Below are 25,885 nucleotides of genomic sequence, written 5' to 3'. Positions count from 1 at the left end.
CAAAAATTTAAATGAGGCTGACAGATTTCAGTAATAAGGGCCAATGTTGATGGTGACAACTGTATACAAAAGCGCACTTAAATGAGTAACACAGAGTATATATGGGTATGTGAAGTCCAGCCAGCATAAACACCAACTAAATCTTGCACATTCCACTAACTTTTTTTCAAAGCTGTCAAACTGCTTTGGTATTTGTTATTCAAGTGTAAGGCCTTGAAGTTTATATTAAAGACAGTTGAGCTAATTCTTCTAAACTCAAAACTACTCTTGTTAGATTTCCAGGCACTAGAATTCTGCTACTCATAATAGTTATTTTGATCAGCAATAATAAAACAAACCATTCTACGGTCACACAGCTGCGTTGGAATTGATTTAATCGCAGAAATGACAAGTAGGACTATGTTCATTTAATTTACTTTAAAATGTCAATTTCCTAAGCATCCAAAAGGTGGCACTAAAAATAGGCAGCCTGATTACTTCAGCCATCTCCCAGCACTGAGCATTAAAGAAAGACCTCTCAGGCCTTGAATTTCTAACATATACATGCAGTGTGATTTATAACAGAACATAAAGACCTTCTGTGCATTTCACACATGCAATGCAAGCATTCACATCTGTGAAAACTGATACTCGGTCCTTCAAACAAATAAGAGACAACTGTTTACTTCTAAGCCCTCCATTCACAGCTGAGGTTATTTGAAAAGCACAGGCAAGAAGGAGTTAGAGAGGAAATGTTATATCTTGCTTCCAGCTGCAAGTGTATTTGGGAAATATTTTGGTATCCTGGTAGCAGTAGCTATGAGGTATTCCCAGAAGCTCTGGAGAATATTTTGCAGAGAGGAGCATGTTAGTCCCACTGGGCTTTGAATTAACTTGGCAGGAAACCTGTGACAGAGAAAACTCACGAAAGCAAAATGGTCAAAGGGAATATGAACATTTCTAGTAGTTTCCTTTGAAATGCATTTTTTCCGTGTGTGTGTGTGTGTGTGTGTGTGTGTCTCTGTCTGAGACAGAATCTCACTGTGTGTGTGTGTGTGTGTGTGTGTGTGTGTGTGTGTGTGTGTCTCTCTCTCTCTCTCTCTCTCTCTGTCTGAGACAGAATCTCACTCTGTTGCCCAGGCTGAAGTGCAGTGGTACGATCTTGGCTCACTGCAACCTCCGCCTCCCAAGTTCAACCAATTCTTCCGCCTCAGCCTCTGGAGTACATGGGATTACTGGCGCACGCCACCACATCCAGCTAATTTTTGTATTTTTAGTAGAGATGGGGTTTCACCATGTTGGCCAGGCTGGTCTCGAACTCCTGACCTCAAGTGATCTGCTTGCCTCGGCCTCCCAAAGTGCTGGGATGAAAGGTGTGAGCCACGGCACCCGGCTGCCCTTTTGTGTTTTTTAAAACTGAGCTTGATCAATGGTAGCAATTAAGAACAGGGAGATGGCTTTTGGCAACTGTCCTTAGTTAAAAAGACCTCAAACTTAGTTTCCCTCTTTTTTTCTCTCTTACAATAATGAAATCATAGTAATTTAGAAAACCAACTTAGAATTAACACACTTTATATAAGATACACATGTATTTACTTTTCAACCTGAACACAGCATTTCAATGGCCAAGCGGCTTTTTTTTTTTTTTTAGAGGGAGTCTGTCAGGCTGGAGTGCAGAGGTGCGATCTCGGCTCACTGCAACCTCCGCCTTCCGGGTTCAAGTGATTCCCCTGCCTCAGTCTCCCCAGTAGCTGGCATTACAGGCACACGCCACCACGCCCGCCTACCAAGTGACTCTTTAAACAGTTGTTAGGAATGTTGTATTAACATCTTATAATATTGCTCCACGGAGTATTTCTACTCGCATCTGAATTCAGAGTTTGGGCACCGTTCCTTGAACTACAGAGCCATTTTCAGACATTATTTTCTACCTAAGTAAAACGATGAAGGGAGAAAATACAAATGCCTTTGGCTCTTTCTGATCATTCTGGATCCATGCATAATGGTAATACTGCTACCATGTGCTCAAGCCTCGGCTTTTTAAAGCCTCACAACCACGAATTACACATTATTCCAGGGTGATACGGTCCTGTCTTGTTATGATTTTTTAAAAACCCCAAACCTCTGAAAAATCTTCAGGTACTCCATCACTCTCGCCTCGGACTGGCACTGGTAAAATGCACACCCACGCGAGGGCAGGCGATTTGTTTCATAATTTTATGTCCTCAGCCTACTGGAGCTAATTTTCTAGTACTTCAAGCATTCTTTTGCCTTAGTTCTGATCACATAAAGTTTTCTCCCTAGCTTATCCTGAACCCAACTTTTTTTTTTTTTAAAGAATAAGAAATTTGCCACTCACGAAAGGCCTGTATTCCATAGCTATCATCTGTAAACATGAACAACATTTACTGCTGGATGGGGAATCACCAGCGCATGGAAGAACTCTTGGTGGATGCGTTGTCTGGAGCCTGCTCACTCCGCCACGTTACTCAGCAATGCTTTCCCTGTTTCTGGATACCACGCTCCCTTCTGAACGATGAAGCATGAAGCACCACGCTCCATAAAAGACCCTCCCTCTCCCCGTGGGAGGGCTCAGGAAGGTGAGGGATTTGGCCCCCATTTTTGGGAAGGCTACTCATTAGCTCCTTGTTATTCAAAGTGTGACCCTGAGGAGTTGCATCCACACGCCCTGGGAGTGGGTGAGACGCACAGGCACCCAGGCCCACCCAGGCCTGCTGGAGCCCAGACTGCCAGGGCCCTCCCGAGCACATTCCAATCTGGGCAGCAGGGGAGCCTTACATTTTGCTGGGATGATGGTGACTTTTCATTTTTCCTTTGTTTTACAAGCTATGAGACCTGAGTATGTACTGCCTTAAATCAACAGCAACAGTAAGTGACAGCAGCAGCAACGGTGGTGGCTGCCCTTCCCCAAGGGCTTGCTGAGGCCGTGTCAGTGTCAGTGCTTTATGGCCATGGTCTCTGGAGCCTGCTGACAGCTCCGTGCCCTCGCATGCTGTCACTACCCCACTTCACTGATGAGAAAGCTCGGCGGGGAAGAGCAGAGCCGCCGTGCTCACCACAGCAAGGCAGTGCCTGGGCCTCAGCTGGAATCTGCTTCTACAGTCCAGGCCCTTCTAGGTTATAAAAATCGCCTTGATCATGCAAACCCCTAAGCAGCTGCCAGCTCAGTTCAGTGATTTGCAGTCGGCTCTGGAGCAGAGATGGGGGCTGGGCGGAACCTGAAGACTCCCATTACCTTTTCCAGCTTCGCTCTCAGCCTTCTCTCCTCCATCCTTGTCTTCAGCACGTCCACATCCTCCTTGGTGCCATTGAGCATGATGACATCATCCTCCTGGAAGGCAGCCCCACACTGGAGAGGGCAAACAAGAGAGGGCAGATTCCATCACCAGTCAATGGGGAGGCCACGCTTCAGTCCCCCACTCTCAGCCCCAAGCAGTGGCCCCCAGGCTCCGAGTAAATTCCTATTACCGGCTTTCTGGTCAAAGCCTTGGTTTGGAAAGTTCCCGCACACAGCAAAGTGTCAGCGTAGCAGGTTAAGAGTGCTATCACTTGCAAGGCTGGTGCCTGGATGGTGTCTGGGAACTTGGATTTTGGGAGGGTTCCCGCCATTTTTTAACTGACAAGAGTAGCTTGGCTCACCGTGCCTAGACCCTTTTGTATGAACAACGTGGTCTATGCTGACACCTACCTGCTTATGGGAGTGTGGAATTCTGGAACATGCTGGGCCGAGGGTATAAAGCCAGCCCTCAGCCAAAACTCTGGGTACTGAGTCTCTCATTTGCTTCCCTGGGCAAAAACATCACACGTGTTGCAGTTTCGTTGCGGGGGGAAGTATTCACTTCGTACAACCCCTTGAGGGAGGGAGTGCGCGTAAGGAAGCCCCACGTGGATTCCTCCAGACTCTGCTACATGCGCCTTTTCCCTTAACACCCAGCTGTGCATCCATACCACGCTGCTGCAGTGAATGTTAGTTGAATACAACCATATGCTAAGTCTCAAGTCTTTCAGAAAACCCCCAAGCATGACGGCAGCCTTGGGGGCGCCCAACACACCCCGGCAGAACAAGACTGCGAGCAGGGTCTAGACCATCCTGACAGTGTTGTGGTGGTAGAAACGCACACATACACACCAAAGGCATGCCCACACTCACAGAGCTGTCAGTGAGTGAGCCACCTCTGCAGAGGCTCCCTGTGACCATGCTGTCACTGGTGGGATCCCAGCACTCTTTCTGTGTTGGCTCCATGGCACTAATCATGACCTGGAGTCTTGTCTTCATCACTTTGTCTATGTTGTTTTCTTCCCTGCTGTGGCCCCAGCAGCTACCCAGTGCCTAGCACAGCAGAGGTGCTCACGGCTGGGGACAGGAAAAACAGGGAAAAAAAGAGAACGAGGAGTGGAGGTTCCCAGTCCTGCATTTTGAATTGAGATTTCTGCCACCATCTGTCTAGGCCACCTGGCTCAGGCCACACCACTTCTCTGGGCCTCAGTTTCCTCAGCTGCAAAAATGAGGGGTCTAAGACTGGGCGCGGTGGCTTATGCCTATGATCCCAGCACTTTGGGAGGTCGAGGTGGGCGGATCACCATTTGAGGTCAGGAGTTCGAGACCAGCCTGACCAATATGGTGAAACCCCGTCTCTGCTAAAAATACAAAAACTGTGTATGGTGGTGCTGGGTGTGGTGGTACATGCCTGTAGTCCCAGCTACTCGGGAGGCTGAGGTGAGAGAATCGCTTGAACCCGAGAGGCAGGGGTTATGGTGAGCCGAGATCGTGCCACTGCACTCCAGCCTGGGCGACAGAGCGAGACTCCGTCTCAAAAAAAAAAGAGGGGTCTAACCCAAGTGCAGTGGCTCTCTAACCACTTGGGGTCTAACGCAAGTGCAGTGGTTGATCCTGCTCCCTAGTGGACATTCGGCGATGTCTGGAGACATTTTTAGCTGTCACATCTGGGGTGCAGGTGCTATTGGCATCTTGTGGGTAGAGGCCAGGGATGCAGCAAGCATCATACAGTACACAGGATGGCCCCCCCACAGAGAGTTACCCAGCCAAGATGCCCCTGTGCTGAGGTTGAGAAGCCCTGGACTAGGGTTATAAACACCTAAATGTAAAAAAGGAAAGAAGAATAATTTATAGGAAAATGTGTTTTATAACTAGGGTAGGAAATGTCATCTAAAACAGTAGTTCCCAACCTTTTTTGCACCTGGGGCCAGTCTCATGGAAGACAATCTTTCCATAGATGGTTGGGGGAAGGTTTTGGGATGAAACTGTTCCACCTCAGATCATCAGGCATTAGAGTCTCATAAGCAGCACGCAACCTAGATCCCTCACGTGCGCAGTTCACAACAGGGTTTGTGCTCCTAAGAGAATCTAATGCCGCTGATGGAGCTCTGGCACTAATGTTCTCTCGCCTGTGGCTCACCTCCTGCTGTGTGGCCCGGTTCCTAAGAGGCCACGGACTGTCACCGGTATGGGGGTTGGGGACCTGTGATCTAAAGCTTTAAAACTTATTTTAAATAATTTTTATTTAAACTTTAAAAACTTATTTTAAAAAAATAAGTTTTACCATGTAAAAATTACAAACTTTTACATGACAATGTCACAACAACAACAAAAAACAATAAGCCAAAGGCTAAGTGAAATATTCATAGCATATATAACATTCAAAGGATTCATTTATGGAACATACTCATAGTCATGTAAACTTTTTTTCTTTGAGACAGGGTCTCACTCAGTCACCCAGGCTGGAGTGCAGTGGTGCCATCATGGCTCAGTGCAGCCTCCACCTCCCAGGCTCAAGCCATCCTCCCACCTCATCCTCCTACCTCATCCTCCTGAGTAGCTAGGGCTATAGGTGTGCGCCACCATGCCTGGCTAATTTTTGTATTTTTTGTAGAGACAGGGTTTTGCCATGTTGTTCAGGCTGGTCTTGAACTTCTGGGCTCAGGTAATCCACCCGCCTCAACCTCCCAAAGTGTTGGGATTACAGGCGTGAGCCACCATGCCTAGCCTCAGTTTAAAGATTTCATTGATTTTACCCTGAAGCTGGTAGGCCCTGTGTTAAGACATAGTCTCTGCCCCCTATGAGTTGGGTGGCAAGTTTTTAAAAATAAAAAATGGAGCAGTGAGCTTACTATTATCATCTTGTCTATGAAACTTCTGTCTTCCCCTGCCTGAGGAAGTCTCTTCAAACTTTTATTTACTCTGTAGCTAACTCTTAGAAGAGCATTCTGGGTTTCTGTTTTACATCTTCTGATCTCCCAAACCTTTTTTTAGGGGTGGGGGAAGCAGAAATCATGTTCTATCTCTTAGCTCACAGCACAATGCTCAGGACACAGAATGCTAAGAGCCGGCTCTAAAAGGAACAGCTTCAGCACCACGTGCATTTGCTACCTAACTCGCCTTTTTAAAAAACAGGTTTTCTGAAATCTCATTTACATAACATAATGAAGTATAGAGTTCAATGGCTTTTAGTATATTTAGAGTTGTGCAACCATCACCATAATCTAATTTTAGCATATTTTTATCACTTCCAACAGAAATCCCATACCCACTGGCACTCACTCCATTCCCCTTTCCTCAGTCTTAGGCAACCATTAATCTACTTTCCATCCTACAAATTTGCCTCTTCTGGACATTTCTATAAATGAAATCATACAATATACATGTTTTTTTTTTTTGTGACTGGATTTTAGCATAATGTTTTAAAGATTTATCCATGTTATAGTATGGATCAGAACTACATTTCTTCTTATTGCCAAATAAAGTTTCATCTATGAATCAGCTGACAGAGTTGTTTCCACTTTCAGACTAAGAAATTCACATGGAAGTCTTTTGTGGACAGTTGTTTTCATTTCTGTTGGGTAGATACCTAGGATTGGGATGACTGGCCATAAGTTAACTTTATGTTTAACCTTTGGAGGAACTGCCTCTCCTCAAATGATGAACTTCCAAAGAGGCTGCACCATTTTACATTGCCACCAGCAATGCCTGAGGATTCTCATTTCTCCACATCCTTCCCAACACCTGTCATCGTTTTTCTTTTTTTTTTTTTTTTGAGATGGGATCTCGCTTTGTCGCCAGGCTGCAGTCCAGTGGCATGATCTCGGCTCACTGCAACCTCCACCTCCTGGGTTCAAGCGATTCTCCTGCTTCAGCCTCCTGGGTAGCTGGGATTACAGGCCCCCGCCATCATGCCCAGCTAATTTTTGTATTTTTAGTAGAGATGGCATTTCAACCATGTTGGCCAGGCTGGTCTTGAACTCCCGACCTCAGGTGATCCACCTGCCTCCCAAAGTGCTGGGATTACAGGTGTGAGCCACTGCAACCAGCCCATTTTTCCTTTTAGTTATAACCATCCTAATGGGAGTGAAGTGCTGTCTCATTGTGGTTTTAATTTGCATTTCCCAAATGACCAGAGATGTTAAGCATCTTTTCACGTGCTAACTGACCATCTGTATACCTTCTCTGGAGAAATGTCTGCTTAAATCCCTGGTCCATTTCTTAATTGTATTATTTGTCTCTTTGATGTTGCGTTCTAAGAGGTCTTTATACAGCATATTCTGGATATAAGTTCTGTCTTAGTCCAAGACTGTTATGACAAAATATCTTACACTGGATAATTACAAAAGTTTTTTATTTTGATGAAATTGGACTTAGCAATTTTCTCTCTTACTGCTACGTTTTTGGTGTCATATTTAGTAAGTCATCGCCTAACCCAAGATTGTGATTTACTCCTGCGTTTCTCCTAAGTGGTTTGTAACTAAAACTTACAGATTTAGGTCTGTGATCACTTTGAGTTTATTTTTACATTCAATGTAAGGTAAGGGTCCAAATTCATTCTTCTGCATGTGGATATCCAGTTACCCCACACTATTTGTTGAAAAAACTATTCTTTCCCCCATCGAATTGACTTGGCCCTTTTGTCAAAAATCAATGACCATACATGTGAGGGTTTATTTCCGGACTCCCTATTTTATTCCATTGATGTATATGCCCGTTCTCATGCCAGCACCACACTATCTTGATTAGTGTAGGTAACATGACTTCAAAGAGTCACATATTGAGTGGATCAACCAAAATTTATCTTTCTAATATCTATGAAAAACTCTATTAAATGTTATAGTCATAGATGTTTAAAAGTATGCCAGATAAGGTCTGTTATTAACTAAAATATTTAGTTACTCCATAAGACACTGCCTTTGAAAAACATAAAGGCAGGCAACCAAATAATAACAAAATTCTTTCAACAACTGGAACAGTAATTTTAACAGACCTACTGTGCCCAGAGCAATAACAGACATACTATGCCCGGAATCTCTTTTGTAGAAAACATTATCAGCACAAGAAAAGCCATAAAAGTACTTTTTTTTTCCTGAAGTTGCCAAAGATTTTCCAGAATCTCCCAAATGCACAGAAGATACCAACAAGCATTTGCTGACTCTCCTCAGCCCCTGCCTTAGCTGGGTTATTTAATGTGGTTCTTGTCTCCAACAGTGATTTTCAGGTTAAGATCAGCTTTTTTTCTAGGGTGGGTCTGGTAAATTTTCGTGACTGAAGATACCTTTTTGACCCACAAATCCCTGAGGGTGGTGCCATAGAGAAGTTATATGAATGACTGAAGCACGTGCCCAATCTAGCATTTAACTGGTACAACCCTTGAAGAAAAGGAGCTTGTTTTTAGCCATCACTGTAGAGAGCTGGGCCTACAGGAGGAGGGACAGCCTGCTCTGCTAGAGGAGGTTCCCTGGGAAGTCTCACGCTATGGGAGGTCTGAGTAGAGCTTTCCCTTGGCTCTGGAAGATGGTCTCTTCCTTGGAATGAAAAAGAATCTGCAGGAACAGAACCAGGTGGTAGTTAAGGCCCAGTGGGGCCTGGAGCTGTGGCTATGACGTAAAGGGCCCAGGGGTGGGGAGGAACCCAGCGTCTGCTCCCTGTGGGTGCTGCCCCCACCTTTCTTTTTCTCTCCTCCTGGGTTTCTGCTGCTGCTTCTTTCTATCACTCCTTGCTGCCCCTCCTTCCGACAGTGTTGGGGTAAGCGGTCTCCTTCCTCTAGATCAGACTGTTCAGAGGACATGGACCTTATTCTGCATACAGTTGTGTTGTGTTGTGCCCAGACTTATTGTACTTTTAAAGTTGAATTGGCCACTGACAATAAGAAGTCAGGAACCCCTCACATTAGAAATTGAGTAATCTTGCTCTTTCTCTCGAAAATTCAAAAGATCCATTAACACCAAACCCACACCCTCAAGGGCCTCAATGGCTTGAACCTTGGTAGGAATTGCCCCTGGAGACTGGGCAGAGTCCTCCCAACTGCTAGGGGCCCCATCACTCGTTCTGGGTAGGTGCTTGACCCGAGAGACCTGAGTGCAGTGGTTCATCCCTGAAGGATGAGGGAAAACAAGGGTAGGGGCTACTGCGGAGATGGGGAGTGGGGCTGCCGCAAAGTCACAGCTGGTCCACAGGGACCTGCTCCCCACCTCTTTAGTAAATAATATGTATTATACCAACAGAAAATCACCCATATCTTCCTGCTAATGCATTTTTCTTGAGTACTGCTATTGTACGGTAGAAATTATACATCCATTTAAAACTGTATCTTCATCCTTTTTATCGCTTGAAACTCAGATGTCCAAAGAATGGGTGAAATGGTTAAAAAAATCATAATACGGCCAGGCGCGGTGGCTCACGCCTGTAATCCCAGTACTTTGGAAGGCCGAGGCGGGCGGATCACGAGGTCAAGAGATCGAGACCATCCTGGCTAACATGGTGAAACCCCGTCTCTACTAAAAATACAAAAAATTAGTCGGGCATGGTGGTGGGCGCCTGTAGTCTCAGCTGATCGGGAGGCTGAGGCAGGAGAATGGCGTGAAGCTGGGAGGCGGAGCTTGCAGTGAGCCGAGATCGTGCCACTGCACTCCAGCCTGGGCGACAGAGCGAGACTCTCTCTCTCAAAAAAAAAAATTATAATACATTCCCAAAAAGGAAGATTATATGGTTAGAGTTTGGGGCAATGTAGAAAATGCTTATCATAAGTTAAACGAAAAAGCAAACTAGTAATTGTATATTTATATTCATATGCCCTCTGGATGCTTTTTTAAAGTATTTTTAAAAAGGCCAGTAGGGGAAGTGCCAAGAGGGGAACAGTGGTCAAATTAGGAGCAATATGCTAATGTATCTAGATATTTATATCACTTTAACAAATGGAACAGTGGCTTCCCAATCTTTGTGCTTACAATAATATTAGCAATGAACAGCTGACTGCATGCATCTCTGACCTAGGAATTCCACTTCCGAGACATGGTCATTCTCTTATCACGGAATCCTGTTTTTGTTTCCTGTGCAGTACCCCATGGCTTAGAGTAAATGAGTGTATGTCTGCATGTTTGTACTGACTTTTGAAACAGTGTGTTTCCTCCACTACACTGTTAGCCCCAAGCAGGAAGCATTTTGTCTTCATGTTCCATGGCGGGAGGAGCCTAGGGTTCTGCCCACATTGGACACAGTGAATAACTGCTGAATGAATGAATAAGAACAGAGCCTAAGGAAATATTTCAAAGTAGTATAAAAGGAGATGAGATTTTAAAGCCAAGCAGTTCTCCCAAAAGCTTGCATGAAAATATACATCCCCATACGTGACGGTGCCCATCACGTCGTATGTTTTGAAGGAAAACTTATGCTAATCTGAATGGCAAGGGAGATAGCTCCTTTTTGGCTTGGATTAAGAAACATAAAAAAACCCCACTGTATTCACGACACCTGTTTTGTAAATTATATCGTATGTCCTTTTATTTATTAGGGATTTCATTTTTTAAATGTTTTAGTCAATCTGTATAAGAGGTTTATACATAAAGCCGATTTACCCTTTGTCCATTTATTACCAATAGAAATGGGTGGCTCAGCTCGTCTAGTATGTTTGCTTCTTGTGTTGGCATTTCCCGCAGCAATGTGGAAGTGTAACGTTTAATGTGGGCAACACTCCCCAGCATTTCCTCAGTTGCTTCTTCCACTGCTATTTGGCTTAGAATGGCTTCCTCCTTCCAGATGTAGAATGTGAGACAAGAAGTGAAACCCAGCACCAACCCTCGACCCCCAGGAATGGGCCAGTGTGAGCAGATCTGCCGTCTAGTCCAGGTGCACCCACAGGGCAAATATTATTATTATTATTATTATTATTATTATGAGATGGCATCTCACTCTGTTGCCCAGACTGCAGTGCAGTGGCATGATCCTAGCTCACTGTAACCTCAAATTCCTGGACTCGAGCAATCCTCCCACCTTAGCCTCCTAAGTAGCTAGGACTACAGGTGCGCACCACCATATCCGGCTAATTTTTAAGAATTTTTTGTAGAGACGGGGTCTTGCTATGTTTCCAGGCTGGTCTCAAACTCCAAGCCTCAAGCAATCTTCCCACCTCAGCCTCTCAAAGTGCTGGGATTACAGATATGAGCCACTGCACCCAGCAAGGACATGTTTCAAAACAAGCATTCAAGATGCAGGGGAAGAGAGGCACAGCAAGACCTCACAAGCTGGCAATGTGACTCTCCCACACATAAAAGGACCTAACCTTTTCTGATTCTTGCTAGATCAAATCAGAACCTTAACTCACGGACTCTGAACATCACACAAACAAAATGTATGGGGTCTCCCCACTGGAAGGCCACATGAATGCCACAACCCCTGAAGATTATGGGGACTACATTCTGTCTGCTCAGTGTTTTTCTAATACTCTGTGCTTTGGCAACAGCAACATCTGTTCTGCAAAAAAGCAGCATGTGTCTCAGAGGCACCCCATGAGCAGGTGAAGAGAATCTGTATTCATCTGACCACACATCCCGCTTAGGCGTCAAGGCACATAGAAGATAAGAAATCTCTACGGTGTGTGATCTATGTCTCTTGGTGCCGATATTCTTAATAGAGCTGTCTGTGGCAAGCCTGCAGAGAGTACCAGCAAGCAGAGAACCTTTAAAACCAGAAAAGGAAAGGATGTTAAGAAAAGTACCCAGAGGTGGAGAAAGAAGGGAAGAGGAAAGCCTAGCGAAGGGGTGCAGTCAGACCCCACCTTCACCACATGCTATGGCGCAGACTCACCCTTGGGGGCGACACAGAGCACAGAGAAGGCTCAGCCCCTGCCTTGTAAAATGTCTGGATTTTTTTGAATGCTATTTATGGAGAAACAGGATTTTTAAGTGACTTTTATTTATCTCCTTAATGAGAGAGGGTCTGATAACTAAATCATGCCTCCTGTATTTAAAATAATTTCAAGACGCTGACCCATGAATGCCACGATTTCATCCTGCAGTTTTCTCAATGTGAGTGACTGTGCGCCCTTCATCTGGGTCAGGCGTCTTCTGTTGTCTCATTTTGTTTTTCAGGAAGGATCTGGTCCCAAGGAAATACTCAGAGAAGCAAAAGCAGCAACTTTTCAATCTGCAGGTCAGAACCAACAGGAATAAAACTCTCCAGGGACAGATGGCAACAAAACCTGCCAAGCAACTCTACTCAAGTGACTGAAGCAGGCGCCGCTGCCGGGGAGGAACCGATGGGAGAGAAAGGCCAGGCTGGGCCCTGACACCGCCAGGACTCCCCCTCCAGGAACCAGGGGGCTTCTCCTGGTAAGCGTCTCAATAGCTATGCAGGACCCACCAATGGCAAAGGTTAAGCAGGTATATGTGCATGTGCGTGTGTGTGCGTGTGTGTGTGTGTCAGGGTCTCACTTTGTCACCCAGGCTGGAGTGTGGCAGTGCAATCTCAGCTCACTGCAACCTCTGCCTCCTGATTTCAAGCGATTCTCCTGCCTCAGGCTCCAGAGTAGCTGGGATTACAGGCACACATCACTATGCCCAGCTAATTTTTTATTGTTGGTAGAGACAGTGTTTCACCATGTTGGGTTGGGCCAGACTGGTCTCAAACTCCTGACCTCAAGTGATCCACCCACCTCAGCCTCTCAAAGTGCTAGGATTACAGGTGTGAGCCACCACACCTGGCCACAGGTATACTTTTTGAAGTAAATTATGTTTTTCTTTGCTCTGTGGTTTTAAAATATTAGAATATGAGTAATATTTGAAATGTCGGTGTTGCAGGTGTCTTTTTCTCTCAAAAATAGCCCCCACTTTTTGTTTAAGCCAAAGAAAATAAAAGTAGAATATTTTCCCAGTATGGCATCAACTAGATTTTTAAATATAAAATGCTACCATTTGTTAACCCCTCACATGAGAGGCAGATTCAAGGCCACGTGCAAATCCTCAGCTCTCATTTTGTAAACTAGAATGTTTTATTTCTTGTCGTTGTTTTGAGTGGATATCCTAAAATAAAGTTTTCTTCTTTCCATCAAAATGGCTAAAATAATTTATACATGTTTTAGGAATAGGCATTTTGTGAAAGGCATCCATTTCACTGGACAGTTAGACAGCTTTTGAATTCAAAATTTGTCCAACTCATCTCAAGTAACTCAAGAAAACATTGTGCTAACATTGAGGCTGCTTTGGACAGCATTCTGAGCTCAGAGAGAAAGAGACACCACATTTTCAATGTGTGGCTACAGAGACTTTAGGACAAGTGAAGACAGCACCTGCAGTTACAGTTTTGGGGCCGCATTACCCCGAGGGTGAGTGCCAGTGAGCACAGGGCACCTCCTAGGGCCAGGCTCAGTGTGAAACTCACATCCTTCACTCCCACACCTCCTCCCAGTGTCCCTGTGAGGCAGACACTACCATACACCACATCCGCAGTCAAGAAAATGGACACTCAGGAGCTTCCGTCACTTGCCCAACAGACTCGTAAGTGCTAGGGCTGTGAGCCTAACACTGGGGCCCTGATTCAAAGCCCATTTCCTGAAGCTAAATATGAGGTTCCTAATAAGGTAAATGCAATATTGAGCCTCCCTCAACCCCCACCCTTTTTGAAAAGTAAAGCTCTCAGAAACTTTGGGTGCTAAATCAACTGCTTATGCTGGTTAAATTAATGTTAATGCTTTAAAATGGTAATATGCTAGAATATATGGCAAAATACTTCGGGTTCACCTTTAAAGGTTCCCATCCATTATCTATTTACTCATAGGAATTTCCTTTAAAATATATACATATAAAAAATGCAACGAAAGAGTATATATGGGATGCTGCCAACTCACCCTAAAAAGTCTTTACCACAAATGAAATCCCATCCTAACAAATTCTCAAAGACTATATCCTTCAACGAACTGTTCTGGAGGTAATGCGATATCAAACCCATATTGCTGACTTTTGCTACTGGCTGTGAAGGCTTGTTGGGAGTCGGGAGAGGAAGACTGTAGAAGAATTACAAGAAAAAAAGAACACAGGCACTGGCTCTAATTAGAAGAGCAATGTGTTTTGAAACAACTCCCTGGAAGTACTTTAACCCTGGACAAAAACATAAAATGTAAAATAATTCCACTCTGAGAATTATAACTGGAAATCATTCCTGTTCTTGTGCAGATTCTGGCACTACATAAACGGGAAAAAAGTTAACCACCATCCTTGACCATAAGTTTGACAATGATTTCCACTGAAAGATACTCTACTGTATCTCTTGGATGCTAGATGGCTTCAGTCAACTGAATGGTTAACTTTTAACATTATTCATGGCTTGGAAGCTGTTTTGTTCCACTGTACACTATATACATATTTAACAATGCTACCTTTCAAAGGCTGCAGATATGGAGGGCTAAAAGATTATTAAAATATACCAGGTCTAGGAAAGACAATTTAAGGAAAGACAGTGCACGAAAAAAGCCTTGAAATGCTCTCACACACAAACCCCCAAATTTATTTTATTTTGGAGATAGGGTCTCACTCACTCTGTTGCCCAGGCTGGAGTGCAGTGGGCATGATCACGGCTCACTACAGCCTCAACCTCCCTGGCTCAAATGATCCTCCCACCTCAGCCTCCTGAGTAGCTGAGACCACAGGTTTGGCTAATTTTGGGACCCCTAATACTTGGCTAATTATTTTTTTATTTTTTGGTAGAGAAGGGGTCTCACTACATCGCCCAGGCTAACCCCCAAATTTTAGAAACTGTTTGTGATCTAGTAATACACAAGGAAAATAGGACACTGGAATGTTAAAAATAGGTCTGTTCCAGACAAAGAACTTGCATACCTACTCCATACATAATACACAGGGTAACAGCCACTCTTTCTACAGCCTTTACAAGAAGTATCTTAAACATCTTTCTATGGAGGAAAAAATGGTTCAAAAACTCAGTAAGAACACTTTTTTATGAGAGGCATATTCCCCGCACTTACAAAATAGCACCTACATTTACTGGAAATTAATTTAGTGACAGAAAATCTCATGTTTAGTAACTAAACCTTCATTATTTTTTCATTAAAATAGCTGACTTCACAATATAGAAATAAAACAGCCACAACAAAAACTAAGAATTGCTAGGAAATGTTTGCAAAACTGAAAATAATGTTCACCATTATCTTAAAAGGAAAAAAAAAAAGTCAGGCCATGAAAAGTTTATTCCTCCAGGAATTTTCATATTACCCACTAGATGTTATGTTCAAGTGACAGCAACAGCAGTGAGATCTCCAAAGGCTACATTTACAATAGAGGGCCTGACTGCCTTAAAAAGCTTGTGCTGATACATTGTGTGTATTGAAACATTACTCTGTGATCCATAAACATATATAATTATTATGTATCAATTTTTAAAAGATTTTTTTTAAAAAAAAAAGCTTGTGTGGCAAAACCTTGTCTCTACAAAAAATCAGCCAGATGCCTGTAGTCCCAGCTGCTGGGGAGGCTGAAGTGGGAGGATCACCAAATCCCAGGAGGTTGAGGCAGCAGTGAGCCATGATCACACCACTGCACTCCAGCCTGAGTGATAAGAGTGAGGCCTTGTCTCAAAAAAAAGTTTATGTTGAAACAATGACAAACTAAACTGCTGGGGACCTTGGTTCCCACTCAGCAGGGCAGTCCAGCAGGCATCCATTCTGAAGTTTCACAGTGAATCTAAGCCAGAGGGAAGATTTAACTGGGCCACAGTGAAAGCTGGTGCTGATGGAACCAAGGTAGAAGGCCACAGCAGGTTAACACTGAACTGGCCATGTCCCTGTCTCTATACAGGGGAGGGAAAAACTCTTAGCCTGGGTATTTTCCCAAAGGACAATGGCTACCCTTGGGGCCTCTCTTCATTTAATTATTATAAACTACTGAAAATACCCAATCTCCTGGGCTCGGCGCACAGCCAAATTTACATGGGGTATCATTTGGCAGTGATGAGGGGCTAACTCACTTCTGTGACAGGAGGAACAGAACGCTTTCACAAGTTATCTTAAAAACAACAAACTAGCTGGGCGAGGTGGCTCACGCCTGTAATCCCAACACTTTGGGAGGCTGAGGCAGGTGGATCACCTGAGGTCAGGAGTTCGAGACCAGGCTGACCAACATGGTGAAACCCCATCTCTACCAAAAATACAAAATTAGCTGAGTGTGGTGGTGCATGCCTGTAATCCCAGCTACTTGGGAGGCTGAGGCCAGAGAATCGCTCGAACCCAGGAGGTGGAGGTTGCAGTGAGCCAAGATCACGCCATTGCACTCCAGCCTTGACAACAAGAGCGAAACTCCTCCTAAAAAAAAAACAACAGAAAACCAAAAAAACAAATAGGCCGGGCGCAGTGGTTCACACCTAAAAATTCCCAGCACTTTGAGAGGCCAAGGAGGGTGGATCACATGAGGTCAGGAGTTCAAGACCAGCCTGGCCAACATGGTGAAATCCCATCTCTACTAAAAATACAGAAATTAGCTAGCGTGGTGGCACATGCCTGTAATCCCAGCTACTCAGGAGGCTGAGGCAGGAGAATCGCTTCAACCGGGGAGGCAGAGGTTGCAGTGAGCTGAGACTGCGCCACTTCACTCCAGCCTGGGTGACAGAGTGAGACCCTGTCTCAAAAAACAAAATAAAAGGACAACAGAAAAAAAAAAACAAAACCCAAACCCTTCTTCCTATACTAAAGTCATAATACAGGGGAAGATATGACAAACTATGGTATCTGGTTTATCTTTAATCAAAATTCTTATAGGAGAAGTAGTAAAAAGCTTTACTTTCATTTCAAGAACATTTTTCTTTCCTATTCAATTTCTATGGTCAGGTTTAATTTAATTTAGAAATCTCATATAAAATGTATAAATTATGATGGTTTCATGTTTATAAACATAAGTATTGCCAGGCGTGGTGGCTCACGCCTGTAATCCCAGCACTTTGGGAGGCCTAGGCGGGTGGATCACGAGGTCAGGAGTTTGAGACCAGCCTGGCCATTATGGTGAAACCCTGTCTCTACTAAAAAAATACAAAAATTAGCCGGGCATGGTGGCATGCACCTGGGAGGCTGAGGCAGGAGAATCGCTTGAACCCGGGAGGCGGAGATTGTGGTGAGCCGAGATCGCACCATTGCACTCCAGCCTGAGTTACAGAGCAAGACTCCGTCTCAAAAAAAAAAAAAAAAAAAAGATAAGTATTACATAATTTATAAGAATGTCTTTAAATTAGGCTGTAAGGTTCCATGTTTGGGGCAGAAACCATTTACTGAACCAGTGGAACACACTGCGGCCTGACATACCTCGGCAGTGGCTGCTATTTATTTTGGAAGCATGATGGGTAGAAATAAACTGTACGATGAAAATAAATACAACATCTTTAAAATCCACAGTCAATGTTAACAGTTTTTGTTGGCTCAGAGTTTAAGAACACAAGGATAACTAAAAATGCTGCCTGTTTGAGGCATTATCCAAACAGCATTTGTAAAAATGATGTGGAAAGGCAAGGGACCAGTGTCCAACCTGAGCTCAAATACCAGTCACACGTACATGGTCTTCTGAAAAACAGGAAGTAGGAATAACATGCAACTTTTAATGGAAACCAAGTCAAGATTCATAAACAAGAAAAACAAATACTTTCTAACAATATAAAGCTTGACATGTTACCTATCAATCTTCTTCCCTAAATTCCAGAGAATGATCCTTGCGTGTAATAATTAATTAACTGAAACCTTTTGGTCACTTTTTGCTATTGCTACACCTATTCATGTACCTCTGTAGACTCAAGACAAACAACTACATGATTATCAAATAATGTTATTAGATAAAGATACCTTGTTTTTAATCTATGACATCTTTCCTAAAAATAATTCAGAAACTTTTTTTTTTTTTTGGGAGACACGGTCTCACTCTGTCACCCAGGCTGGAGTGCAACGGGATAATCAGGGCACCACCACATGTGGCTAATTTTTAAGTTTTTTATAGAGATACAGTCTTACTATGTTGCCCAGGCTAGTCTTGAACACCTGGGCTCAAGTGATCCTCTGCCTTGGCCTCCCAAAGTGCTGAGATCACAGGCATGAGCCACTATGCCTGGCCCAGAAACTCACTTCAACAGGTTTAAGTGTATAATCATCAAATTCCTCTTAATTTGTCACTTCTTCTGTTGGAAAGATTAGTCTTATATGCAGAATAATGGCACACAATGAACTTTGAATAAGGCAGAACAGGACGGTGTCTATGTCCAAAGTAAGTATTTGAGATTTTTCATCTCCCTAATAAGGGCAATAACATGAAAATATGCTCAACATCATTAGTCATTAGGGAAATGCAAAGTAAAACTACAGGGAACTAACATTACACACTCATTAAAAGGTAAAAATTAAAACATCTGACCACAGCAAGTATGCCAGAGGCTATATAATAAATGGCTATCATACATTGCTGGTACAACCACTGTGGAAAACAGTTTGGCAGTTTCTTAAAGAGTTACACACTGACAAACTAGAGTGACAGAAGGCGTATCGGCAATTGCCAGAGATGTGGATGGAAAGAAAGAGGATAAAAAGGAGCATAAGAACACTTTGAAGAGTGAGGGAAATGCTTGTTATCTTGATTGCAATGACAGTTTCATGGGTGTGTATATGTAGTTTAGTGTATTTCAATAAAGTTGGGGGGGAGAATTACAACACCCTAAATTGTATCTGTTGTTCTTTTAGGAAGCTTAAAGGAAAAAATACTTAAATTATGGTAATAAGAATGCACCTGGAGCTCAAGATATGAGCCAGCTTCGAGCCACAAAGTCTGGACTTGTCGTGAGGGCAGTCATTTGCATCTTCATTTTTCTTTACTTAAGGAATCCAACTCCTGCAGAATCAGAAGAAGAACCTGCCCAACCAGAAGTAGTAGAATGTGGCTTTTACCCAGATGAACTGTGTTCCGCTTTATTTGAAGGGAAAGGGGCGGCCCCCTAAATTGCAAAATTTTGCAAAACCCCTCATAAATCTGAAATACATGCTCATTTACACACACCAGGAAACTGCTCCAGGATTTCTCGGGGGCTGCATTTCATAACCAGACCCCTGTCTGCAGAAGAGGGCGATTTCTCTTTGGCATATATTATAACTATTCATAAGGAGCTGGCCATGTTTGTGCAGCTTCTCAGAGCTATTTATGTACCTCAAAATGTTTATTGTATTCATGTTGATGAAAAGGCCCCAATGAAGTATAAGACTGCTGTGCAAACCTTGGTTAACTGTTTTGAAAACGTTTTTATTTCCTCCAAGACAGAGAAGGTGGCTTATGCTGGCTTTACAAGACTACAGGCAGATATTAATTGTATGAAAGTTCTAGTGCATTCTAAATTTCAATGGAACTATGTCATCAATCTTTGTGGACAGGATTTTCCCATCAAAACCAACAGAGAAATCATACACTACATCAGAAGCAAATGGAGTGATAAAAATATTACTCCTGGAGTAATCCAACCATTGCACATTAAATCCAAGACAAGTCAAAGTCATCTCGAATTCGTTCCTAAAGGAAGTATCTATGCACCTCCAAATAACAGATTCAAAGACAAACCACCCCATAACTTAACCATTTATTTTGGAAGTGCTTACTATGTACTTACAAGGAAGTTTGTAGAGTTCATACTGACTGACATCCATGCAAAAGACATGCTTCAGTGGTCCAAAGACATCCGCAGCCCAGAGCAACACTACTGGGTGACCCTGAACCGACTAAAAGGTAAGAAAGACCCACCGATATGGATGCCTGTGCAGTCAGCAGCAACAGCAGCAGATAGATTGATTGATTGATTGATTGACTGACTGATTTTGAGACGGAGTCTCACACGGTCACCGAGGCTGGAGTGCAGTGGCGCGATCTCGGCTCACTGCAAGCTCCACCTCCCGGGTTCACGCGATTCTCCCACCTCAGCCTCCCCAGTAGCTGGGATTACAGGCGCCCACCACCATGCCCAGCTAATTTTTGTATTTTTAGTAGAGACAGTGTTTGTCTATGTTCGTCAGGCTGGTCTGGAACTCCCGATCTCAGGTGATCCGCCTGCCTCGGCCTCCCAAAGTGCTGGGATTACAGGTGTGAGCCACCACGCCCGGCCATAAGATTTATTGAAAAAATTGAACATTTTTTCAATTCAGCTATGTTTCTTTGGCCTTGTAAATGTTCTACATTTTGCAAGACCTTCCACTTAGGGAAACAGGAAGTTCTCTGATTTTAGGGGTCTGAAGTTAGCTGAAAGATGTTCCCAAACCAGTCTGGCTGCTTTTGTTCCCTCTCTAGAAAGAAGTACTGGCATTTTGCATCTCCTGAGACTTTGGAAAATTCTGAGTATAAATCTTTAGAAAGTTCTTCATTTATTTTATAAATACTACTGGATACCTACTGGTGTCAGGCATTGTGCTAAGGGCTCTCTGTAAGATGGAAAATGTTAAAGCTAGTAATGATTTTGTGGCAAATCTGATACTTCAGATGGGTTCTCTGAGAGGTAGAGGGAAATCAGATACCATCCTTAAGTGGACTTCAGTATTTTCTCTTTGTAAAAGGTGGACTGGCTTCTATAGGGAGTGTGGCTTCAAGCCTGAACAACTAAGCTAATCAGCCTAGACAGTGGTGTACGATGAGTCCAGTAGACATTGGTTGGGGTTTTTTTAATATAATTTCATGTCCACTGCAAGTTTGATTTTCAAATAATCTCCGAGGGCTGTTACAGAGAAAACAATCCAAAGAACCCCAAGAGAATCACAAAGAGTACTCTGCATACAGCAAGGGAGTAACAAGGGGTGGAGAAAGGGCTGAAAAATGAAACCCAAGTACAAAGATGGGGATCCCCAACCTTGGTCCACCTGGATGCTACTGCCAGCGTAGTACATGCTCCCACCCCCAAAAGCACTAGCCTTTGATCCGATGTTACAAGTGAAACATCTCAAGGAAGGTTGGACTTTCCCCTCTACTTTTCTCATTGACTACCTCATCTAGAGGAAATGGAAATGATAGCACAGAAGAACTTGTACTAAAAGAACTGGGAAGCAGATTCCACACTGAATGCTGGTTTTGTTTTCCTCTTAGATGCTCCAGGTGCTACACCAAACGCTGGCTGGGAAGGAAATGTTCGAGCCATTAAGCGGAAAAGTGAGGAAGGAAATGTTCATGATGGATGTAAAGGTAAAAAGAAAAACAAAACAAAACAAAAAAGGCTTCAAATTTTACAACAACTATAAAACTGCTGCCTCAATCCTAGTGGGCAAGACGGAGGATCATGTTTAAAGTAATCTGGAATTAGTGATGATCCAATTAGTATAGGTTGAGTCAATTTTTTAAAAAAACTTTTTATATAAGATTCATACAGAAAAGTACACAAATCACAAAAAATACAGGTTGATAAAATTTCCCAAAGTAAATATACCCTCTGCACCAACAGCTAGGCCCTGCCATATGTCTCCACACAGCTTCCTACCCAGTGGCAGGAACTACTGCACAGAGATACAATAACTGATTTTAACAGTGATTTTGGGTAGAGACCTTGGGTTTGAATACAGTAGACTAGATATTAAAAATAAACTAGGTTTACCCAGTTTTTCAGCTGTTTAAAAGACTGGCCTAAAATAAACAGATTGGAGACAAACAAAAAATGTAAATCAAATACCAGACTAGTTCAAAGACAAGTAAATCCTGCTGCCAATGTGCACAGCCACCCTCCTGAAGCAGAGGGACCAGGTTAGAGAGCTGGAACAATTTTCTAGTGAAGGGGTTTTTTCAAAAGCAGATATGATTCAATTAGGGATCCATTCACATGGTAGAAAGGTGACAGGTAAACAACAGGTTAACAAGAGCTCTGCCCTTTCTTTAGAAAGCAGGGGCTCCCTGTCATTACACACTTGGGTTTGTCAGGACTAGTCAGTAAATGCTCAGAAAAAGCAGGGGGCTCAGATTCTTCCTGAAAACAGGAGCCCCTCAGGTGTGCACATGGTATAAGAAGTCATAAAGGGTTGATACTATCAATAATAAAGTAATGATTCAGAATTCTCAATGAAATCAGAATGTTTCAACAATGTTTGAAAAAAACCCTAGTTAGTATAAATCCTAACAAAGTCCTCATTCCCTAAAAGTAAATACTTCAGAAAGTTCTTAACATCACTAGCTTCAGTATGAAAACGGTACTCACAGTTAGGCAGTAGCGTGGCCATCCATGGCCAGCATTCAGAGTCAGCACCCTAAGTAGGCCAAGCCCTGGTGTGTAGGGAGGTGGTAAATCTTCCGGGTCCGAGCTTTGGGCCTGCACTCAATCCTCACAACAATTCTCAGGTAGAAACAATCATTATTCACCCTTTACTGATGTGGAACCCAAGGCTCAGGTAAGTGAAGTCACTCCCACAGGCACAGGGAGGAGGGGCAGGGCTGGGGCTCAGACTGGGAGCAACCGCCTGCCACCACTACAATGGGCAAGCTCCCAGTCCGACTCTGCATGCAGAAGAACAGCTATCCCATTAGAACCAGCAACAAAGGGTTTATTTTTAATCACTCAAATATCATTAACACAGCTCTGAAAATGGTCCATTTATTTGTATTCCCTTCTAGTTCAACTTCATCTGTGTCTAAATGGCACAGCTGTATCATTATAATCAAGGTGTAGCTGAGTTGCTTTTCACTTATGTCCTAAGTTTCTCCCACTGATAGTCTTCATATTTGTAGTCTTTTTTTTTTTTTTTTGAGACAGGGTCTCGCTCTGTCACCCAGGCTGGAGTGCAGGTGGTATGATCATAGCTCACTGCAGCCTCCACTTTCTGGGCTCAAGTGATTTTCTCACTTCAGTCTCCCAAGTAGCTGGGAATACAGGTGTAAGCCACCAAACCCAGCTAATTTTTTATCTTTGTAGATATGGGGTCTCACTATGCTGCCCAGGCTGGCCCTCAACTCCTGGGCTGAAGTGATCCTACCACTTTGGCCTCCCAAAGTGCTGAGATTACAGACATGAACCACTGCATCTGGCCCATACTTATAATATTAAAGTAGTTAAATGTAACTCTACTGAGATTCTAGCACATTGTAGCAAATATGTCTATCAGGTAAAATTTGTTAAATCATGGTAACAGCTGCCACTTACATAGTCTTAGAAACAACACTGGACATTTTGTGCATACATCCCCCTGCCCCTTTTAAAAACAGTATTTCCTTAAGATAGGTTTTTTTTGGAGATGGAGTCTTGCTTTGTCACCAGGCTGGAGGGCAGTGGTGCAATCTCGGCTCACTGCAACCTCTGACTCCCTGGTTCAAGCGATTCTCCTGCCTCAGCCTCCTGAGTGGCTGGGATTACAGGCACGCACCACCACACCCAGCTAATTTTTGTATTTTTAGTAGAGACGAGGTGTCACCATGTTGGCCAGGATGGTCTTGATCTCCTGCCCTCGTGATCCACCCGCCTCGGCCTCCCAAAGTGCTGGGATTACAGGTGTCACCCACTGCGCCCAGCCAAGATACGTTTTTTTAAAAGTAGGATTACTGGGCTGGTGTGAGGAAAGAGAGCAGGAAGGAGCTGGGCAGAGAAAGAGCAACGTTTCTGAAATAAACAGACCTCCTTCCCTCTCACACATACGCTGAGGCCTCACTTCGCTAATCTGTTTCCTCCCTTGCAAAATGGGAATGATGATGGAATCCACTTCAGAGTGTTACTGTGAGAATTAAAAGCAAGAGCAGAAAGAGCCAAACACGGTTGTCAAAAGCACATAAAAAGTGTCACTGAGTCTCCAAGGAATCCAGTCACCACTGGATTCCAACTCTAATTCCCACTTTAAAAAAAATTTTTTTTTAAATTACAGACGAGATCTCACTCTATTGCCCAGGCTGGTCTCAGACTTCTGGGCTCAAGTCATTCTCCCGCCTCGGCCTCCCAAAGTGCTGGGATTACAGGTGTGAGCCACCGTGCCTGGCCTGTAATTCCCACCTCAATGTTTGTATCAAATGTTCACTCTGAAAAACAAATAAAAAGCAGTGCCAGGCACAGTGGCTCACACCTGTAATCCCAGCACTTTGGGAGGCCGAGGTGGGAAGATCACTTGAGCCCTGGAGTTTGAGACCAGCCTGACCAACATGGCGAAATCCCGTTTCTATAAAAAATACAAAAATTAGCTGGGCATGGTGGTGCATGTCTGGGGTCCCCAAAAAATATAGAAGCAATGACTTATTTAAAATCCATACCATTCTTATGAACTACTTACAACCAATGAAAAGACTTAGAAGTTCATGGAACTCAGAATCTATCGGAACTGAGATTTTAGCAGGCAAATGAGCGCTAGCTTATCTCTCGTGTGCGCGTGGTGAGTTAAATCCCATGGTATTCACCTAAAGCAGTAACTAACAAAGATTTCAGAAATCACTAAAAGAATGAAAGTGCGCCTTTCCACCGTAAGTTCAAAATTCAACATAAAAGCCCCTGTCAAGGCAATCATGGAAATGCTGTTTGATGTGAACTCTGGTGAAGCTGAGGCTCACCACTGACACCGGACGGAGCATGCGCCACTTTCTGTGTGTGAATAAAATGGGTGAGGAAACAAAGGCAGCTAGGTTTTTGTGTTTCTTTCTGCAGGCCGCTACGTCGAAGACATCTGCGTATACGGACCAGGAGACCTGCCGTGGCTCATTCAGTCGCCTTCTCTGTTTGCCAACAAATTCGAACCCTCGACAGACCCGCTTGTGGTTACCTGCTTAGAGCGGCGGCACAGACTTCAAGTGCTGAGGCAGGCAGAAGTTCCTATAGAGCCACACTGGCATTTTCAACAGCAGAGTCATTTCAATATGAGACTGAACCGCTAGGGAGTGTTTGCTTTCTTACTGGTATCATTCTGTTTCCTTGACTTGAAACAAGAGAACATTGAACCAAAGAAGTGGGAAAATGATTCCTTGATACAAACTATTCCTAAAATGAATTCAGAAACATGCTATTGACAAGACTTTACTATTGATTACAGGCCACTTTTATAGCTTTGGGAAAGAAATCACAAGACAAAAAAACTCAAGCTACCACTGGTGACATATAGCAATGCACTTAGAAGGCCAAATGCTTCAGTAAAAAGCTGCTGAAAACCCAAATTCTCCAAACACCTGGATCCAGGCTCAAGCTGGAATAAGAACGACACAGCCTGTTTTGAAGACCCAGATACTACTGTGTATGAGATACTAAGAAAGAACAGACTCCCAGTGAAAATGAAAATATGCTTATCTGAAACAGTCCTCATTGGCTGCAAGCAATGTAACCCTATTCTGGCGGTCCTAGAAAAATAATGAAGAGTGTATTTCTCTGGGTAAAACAGAGCTCATCTGGAGTAGAAAACACAGCTTGTTAAAAAGGGTGCCCCAAGTGTCTGCGGTCTTGACATGTCGTCTCCTAGCACCTTCTGTGATGGTGGACATTCCACAGCTGAGCTGTCTAACTGCTCACCACAGCCACAGGGGCTCCTGGGCATTGGAAACATGGCTGGAGCGACTACAAAAGTGAATCTTTATTTTTATTTAATTTTTAAAAATTAAGTTACCTTTATTTATTTATTTATTTGAGACGGAGTTTTACTCTTGTTGCCCAGGCTGGAGTGCA

At 43.6% G+C, this 25,885-nt stretch overlaps 1 protein-coding gene and 1 pseudogene across 7 annotated transcripts in view, besides 3 other annotated features; one reads left to right on the top strand and one right to left on the bottom strand.

The window, feature by feature from the left end:
* GCNT7 (glucosaminyl (N-acetyl) transferase family member 7) overlaps nt 1-25,172 on the top strand; it is a 34,434-nt pseudogene extending 9,262 nt beyond the window's left edge. Inside the window, exons 2-7 of the transcript NR_160308.1 lie at nt 2,359-2,579; nt 2,827-2,868; nt 12,370-12,609; nt 18,996-20,025; nt 21,367-21,462; nt 24,881-25,172. The product of NR_160308.1 is annotated as a glucosaminyl (N-acetyl) transferase family member 7, transcript variant 1, non-coding (transcript). The remainder of the gene's footprint in view (nt 1-2,358; nt 2,580-2,826; nt 2,869-12,369; nt 12,610-18,995; nt 20,026-21,366; nt 21,463-24,880) is intronic.
* RTF2 (replication termination factor 2) overlaps nt 1-25,885 on the bottom strand; it is a 50,823-nt gene that overhangs the window by 2,786 nt on the left and 22,152 nt on the right. For all 6 annotated transcript variants that reach the window (NM_001283035.2, NM_016407.5, NM_001283036.2 and 3 more), the window contains one exon: nt 3,236-3,349. In NM_001283035.2, coding sequence (NP_001269964.1) covers nt 3,236-3,349 — 114 coding nt within the window. The remainder of the gene's footprint in view (nt 1-3,235; nt 3,350-25,885) is intronic.
* Nucleotides 3,595-4,402: an enhancer, noted in NCBI's record as "H3K4me1 hESC enhancer chr20:55087318-55088125 (GRCh37/hg19 assembly coordinates)". NCBI's record gives its function as "activates a minimal SCP1, AML or CMV promoter by ChIP-STARR-seq in primed H9 embryonic stem cells {active_cell/tissue: H9 hESC(primed)}" and the evidence as "EXISTENCE:reporter gene assay evidence [ECO:0000049][PMID:30033119]".
* Nucleotides 4,403-5,211: an enhancer, noted in NCBI's record as "H3K4me1 hESC enhancer chr20:55086509-55087317 (GRCh37/hg19 assembly coordinates)". NCBI's record gives its function as "activates a minimal SCP1, AML or CMV promoter by ChIP-STARR-seq in primed H9 embryonic stem cells {active_cell/tissue: H9 hESC(primed)}" and the evidence as "EXISTENCE:reporter gene assay evidence [ECO:0000049][PMID:30033119]".
* Nucleotides 15,744-15,944: a silencer, noted in NCBI's record as "peak4281 fragment used in MPRA reporter construct". NCBI's record gives its function as "represses an SCP1 promoter by STARR-seq MPRAs in K562 erythroleukemia cells {active_cell/tissue: K562}" and the evidence as "EXISTENCE:reporter gene assay evidence [ECO:0000049][PMID:32103011]".

This window comes from Homo sapiens, chromosome 20 (genome assembly GCF_000001405.40).
Source record: "Homo sapiens chromosome 20, GRCh38.p14 Primary Assembly".
Taxonomy (NCBI): Eukaryota; Metazoa; Chordata; class Mammalia; order Primates; family Hominidae; genus Homo; species Homo sapiens.
This window is presented reverse-complemented; position numbering and strand designations above follow the sequence as displayed.